Source organism: Homo sapiens, chromosome 12, assembly GCF_000001405.40.
Source record: "Homo sapiens chromosome 12, GRCh38.p14 Primary Assembly".
In the NCBI taxonomy this organism is placed as follows: domain Eukaryota; kingdom Metazoa; phylum Chordata; class Mammalia; order Primates; family Hominidae; genus Homo; species Homo sapiens.
This window is the reverse complement of record NC_000012.12, coordinates 57,666,908-57,671,865: the sequence shown is the minus strand read 5'-3', so window position 1 is coordinate 57,671,865 and position 4,958 is coordinate 57,666,908. Positions and strand designations below refer to the sequence as shown.

General features: G+C 43.3%; 1 pseudogene; it reads left to right on the top strand.

Moving 5' to 3' along the window:
- Positions 1 to 2,826: 2,826 nt before the first annotated feature.
- LOC124903112 (uncharacterized) lies at positions 2,827 to 2,922 on the top strand (annotated as a pseudogene).
- The last annotated feature ends 2,036 nt before the right edge of the window (positions 2,923 to 4,958 follow it).

Here is a 4,958-nt window from a genome sequence, read left to right as displayed (position 1 = left end):
ATATTTGTGATAAGTTATTTTGGCTAAACTATATGAAGAATTCTGAGCCACTGTACCTGTAGTCCAAGCTACTCAAGAGGCCGAAGCAGTAGGATCACTTGAGCCCGGGAGTTTGAGGCCAGCCTAGGCAACATAGTGAGACTCCATGTCTAAAAAAACAAAAAACAAGAACTGTATGATGCAGGATTTAGTTGCCTTTTGTTTATTACACCACACTCAACAAATAGTTCTTTCTTTCTCTCTCTCTCCCTTTCTTCCTTCCTTCCTTTCTTTCTTTCTTTCTCTTTCTTTTCTCTTGAGACAGGGTCTTGCTCTGACACCCAGGCTGGAGTGCGTAGGGCAGTGGTACAATCATAGCTCACTGCAGCCTTGACCTCCTGAGCTCAAGCGATCCTTCCACCTCAGCCTCCTGAGTACTTGAGACTACAAGGAGGTGCCATCACACCTGGCTAAATTGAAAAAAAAAAAAAAAAATTGTAGAGACAGCATCTCCCAATGTTGCCCAGGCTGAAATATTTGTTTCTTAAACATTAGCTGCAATGTAAAATCTGAAACTATATCAATAAGCCTTTTCCACTCTGGGTTATATGAAAATCTATCTTGCACTTTGATTGGATTTTTTTACCCATGCATGATTTTGTATCCATAATGAATTGGTCATTTGGAAAACATTGGATCACTGAGCTATGCAGAGCTTGCAAATGTTGCCACATTTCACTGTACAACGTTTTTAAAATAACATTCTTTAATATCACCACCAGTCTCATCAGAAAAGTCTTTAAGTATTGGGAAACGGTCAAGCTTGGGTGGCAGGTACAAAATTCTATTTTGCTTGAAAGTTCTAACTTTATCATTGCCAACAAATAATGTTAAGTTGCTTTCCTTGAAGCGACAGGCTTACTTTGTTTATTTTTGTAAAACTGTCTGCCTAATACTCAAGACTCAATAAACATAGTTCATTATACTTTCAAGTAAAAAATGCGTTCACTGGAAAAAAATTGGCTAGTTCCGTTTGTGTCTAAATAACACAAGTGCTTTTCTTCCAAACAACCAGACTTTGGTAGGGAGCAAAAGCACTTTGCCCATACTTCCCATTTTGTTAGACAGAATTTTCAAAAGATGTTCACTCAAGGGTTGAGATTTAACAAAATTAATACTTTTCACAGCTTCACAAAGGACACTCTTTGTTTTTGTTTTTATTTTTTTGTCGTTGTTGTTGTTGTTGTTTTGAAATGGAGTCTCACTCTGTCACCCAGGCTGGAGTGCAGTGGTGCGATCTAGGCTTACTGCAACCTCCACCTCCCGGGTTCAACTGATTCTCGTGCCTCAGCCTCCTGAGCAACTGGGACTCCGTCTCACAAAACAAACAAACAAAAACAGGCAAGTAGTGTTTTATTTGTTTCTTTGTTTGTTTTCTAATAGAGAAAGGATTTTCCTATCTTGCCTAGGCCGATATCAAACTTCTGGGCTCAAGGTGTCCTCCTGCCTCTACTTCCCCAAGTGTTGGGATTATAGGCATGAGCCACTTTTTTTTTTTTTTTTTTTGTGATGGAGTTTTGCCCTTGTCACCCAGGCTGGCACACTGCAACCTCCGCCTCCCAGGTTCAAGTGATTCTCCTGTCTCAGCCTCCCGAGTAGCTGGGACTACAGGCACATGCCACCACACCTGGCTAATTTTTTGTATTTTTAGTAGAGATGGGGTTTCACCACGTTGGCCAGGCTGGTCTCGAACTCCTCACCTCAGGTGATCTGCCCCCCTCGGCCTGACAAAGTGCTGGGATTACAGGCATGAACCACCATGTCCGTTTTTTGTTTGTTTGTTTGTTTGTTTGTTTTTAAAGAGACAGGGTCTCGCTCTGTCGTCCAGGCCGAAGTGCAGTGGCACAATCTCAGCTCACTGCAGCCTCGGCCTCCAGGGCTCAAAGAGATCCTCCCACCTCAGCTTCCTGAGAAGCTGGGACTGCAGGCGTGCATCACCCCACCCGGCTAATTTTTGGGGATTTTTGTGTATGTGTGGAAACGGGGTTTCACCATGTTGTCCAGGCTGGTCTCAAACTCCTGGGCTCAAGCAATCCACCTGCCTTGGCCTCCCAAAGTGCTGTGATTACAGGCGTGAGTCACCTCGCCCAGCCATATTTTTTAATAAAAAAGAAGATGGTGCTTTGGGAGGTCAAGGTGGGAGGATCACTTAAAGCCAGGACTTTGAGAGCAGCATGGGCAACATAACATGACTCTGCCTCTACAAAAAATTTTTTAAATTAGCCAGGTATGATGGCACACTCCTGTAGTCCTAGATACTCAGGAGGCTGTGGCAGGAGGATTGCTTGAGCCCAGGAGTTTGAGGCTGCAGTGAGCTGTGATCATGCTACTGCACTCAAACCTGTGCAACAGAGTGAAAACCTGTCTCAAAAATGAAAAGAAAATGGAAAAAGTGCCAAGAAAACATCAATAATATGATATAATAATATTGGCCGGGTGCAGTGGCTCACGCCTGTAATCCCAGCACCTTGGGAGGCCGAGGTGGGCAGATCACGAGGTCAGAAGATCAAGACCATCCTGGCTAACACGGTGAAACCCCGTCTCTACTAAAAATACAAAAAAATTAGCCGGGCGTGGTGGCAGGCGCCTGTAGTCCCAGCTACTCAGGAGGCTGAGGCAGGAGAATGGTGTGAACCCAGGAGGCGGAGCTTGCAGTGAGCCAAGATAGCGCCACTGCGGGTCCAGCCTGGGCGACAGAGCGAGAGTCCGTCTCAAATAATAATAATAATAATATTAGCAAAAAAGTGAAAATACCTAGTAATAACAGCAATAATAATAGCATGCACGATCCTTTTGTGGGTCATATGCATGATGATTGGGTGTTCACGCACAAGTATGAGATGTGCCACCTTTTTACAGCATTGGCACATTACCTGTCTGATGACAACGATGACAAAAAGGAGAAGGAGGAGAAGAGAAGGAGAAGGAGAGGAAGAGGGAGAGGAAGAGGAAGAGAAAAGGAGAGCAGGCACTTTTTTTTTTTTGAGACGGAGTCTAGCACTGTCACCCCGGCTGGAGTAAAATGTCGCAATCTTGGCTCACTGCAACCTCCGCCTCCCAGGTTCAAGTGATTCTCCTGCTTCAGCCTCCTGAGTAGCTGGGATTACAGGTGTCTACCACCACACCCGGCTAATTTTTTGTATTTTTAGTTGAGACTGGGTTTCACTATGTTGGCCAGGTTGGTTTCGAACTCCTGACCTCATGATCCGCCCACCTCGGCCTCCCAAAGTGCTGGGATTACAGGTGTGAGCCACCGCGCTTGGCCTGGGCAGGCACTATTAAAGCATTTTAATGATGGTACATCTACATGACAGAATACTAGGCAACCTTAAAAATATGGTGGCAATACTTGGCGAGAGTGTAAATTGGTATAACCTTTCTGGAGGACAATTTGGGACTAACTATCCAAATTTAATATGTATATAATCCTTTCATTTAAAAATCCCACTGCTAGGAATTTATCTTAAGGATATTGTAATAAGTGTAATTAATAAATTATAAGGTGATATGATGTATAAATTCAGAGTAATGTAATATATTCTATCATCCTGAATTATTTGCTGAGATGTGTTGGATGGGGTGAGGAGCAGTTTGTAAGTAAACATGTTACCTTAAACTTATAAACACATATACAGGTCCACTAGGCTGCATCACACTCAAAAATAAGCAGGTATTGTTTACACCACTTCATCACTAATAAGCACCTGTTGTGTGCTTAAGATGTAAACAACTGGCCAGGCGCGGTGGGTCACACCTGTAATCCCAGCACTTTGGGAGGCTGAGGCGGGAGGATCACGAGGTCAAGAGATTGAGACCATCCTGGTCAACATGGTGAAACCCCGTCTCTACTGAAAATACAAAAAATTAGCCAGGCATGGTGGCAGGTGCCTGTAATCCCAGCTACTTGGGATGCTGAGGCAGGAGTATTGCTTGAACCCAGGAGGCAGAGGTTGCAGTGAGCCGAGATCGCACCACTGCACTCCAGCCTGGGCAAAAAGAGCAAAACTCTGTCTCAAAAAAAAAAAAAAAGATGTACACAACCTATAATTGTAAATGTATTAGGTAAAATATAATTTGTAAAAAAGTGACATCTGTTACATACAGCCTTGTATAATAGGAATGTGAAAAGTGTGAACCCTGAAAATCTGAGACAGGTCTCAGTTAATTTAGAAAGTTTATTTTGCCAAGGTTGAGGACGTGTGCCTGTGGCACAGCCTGAGGAGGTCCTGACGACATGTGCCCAAAGTGGTCAGAGCACAGTTTTGTTTTATACATTTAGGGACACATGAGACATCAGACATATGTAAGATGAACATTGGTTCACTCTGGAAAGGCTGGGCAACTCAAAGCAGGGAAGGGGCTTCCAGGTCATAGGTAAATAAGAGACAAATGGTTGTATTCTTTTGAGTTTCTGATTAGCCTCTCCAAAGGAGGCAATCAGATGTGCATTTATCTCAGTGAGCAGGGGTGACTTTGAATAGAATGGGAGGCAGGTTTTGCCCTGATAAAAGAAAAACTTCAGCCGAATTAAATTTAAAGGAGTTTAATTCAGCAATGAAGTATTCGCAAATCAGGCAGCCCCCAGAATTAGAGCAGATTCACAGACTTCAGGGGTGCCTCGTGGTCAGAACAAATTTATAGACAAAAAAGTTAAAGTGACATACAGGAATCGGAAGTGAGGTACAGAAACAGTGAGATTGGTTACAGCTCTGCCTTTGCCTTACTTGAACTAGTTTGAACACTCAGCAGTCTATGAGTGGTTGGCCAGCACTCAGCTATTGTTACGGGTGCATACTATTAAGTTAGGTTTTCAATTTTGTCTGACTATTACGCTAAGTTACAGTTCATCCACAAGGTCTCAAATATGGAAGTACAGAGTCCTTCTCAGGCCATATTTAGTTTGCTTTAACAATTCTCCC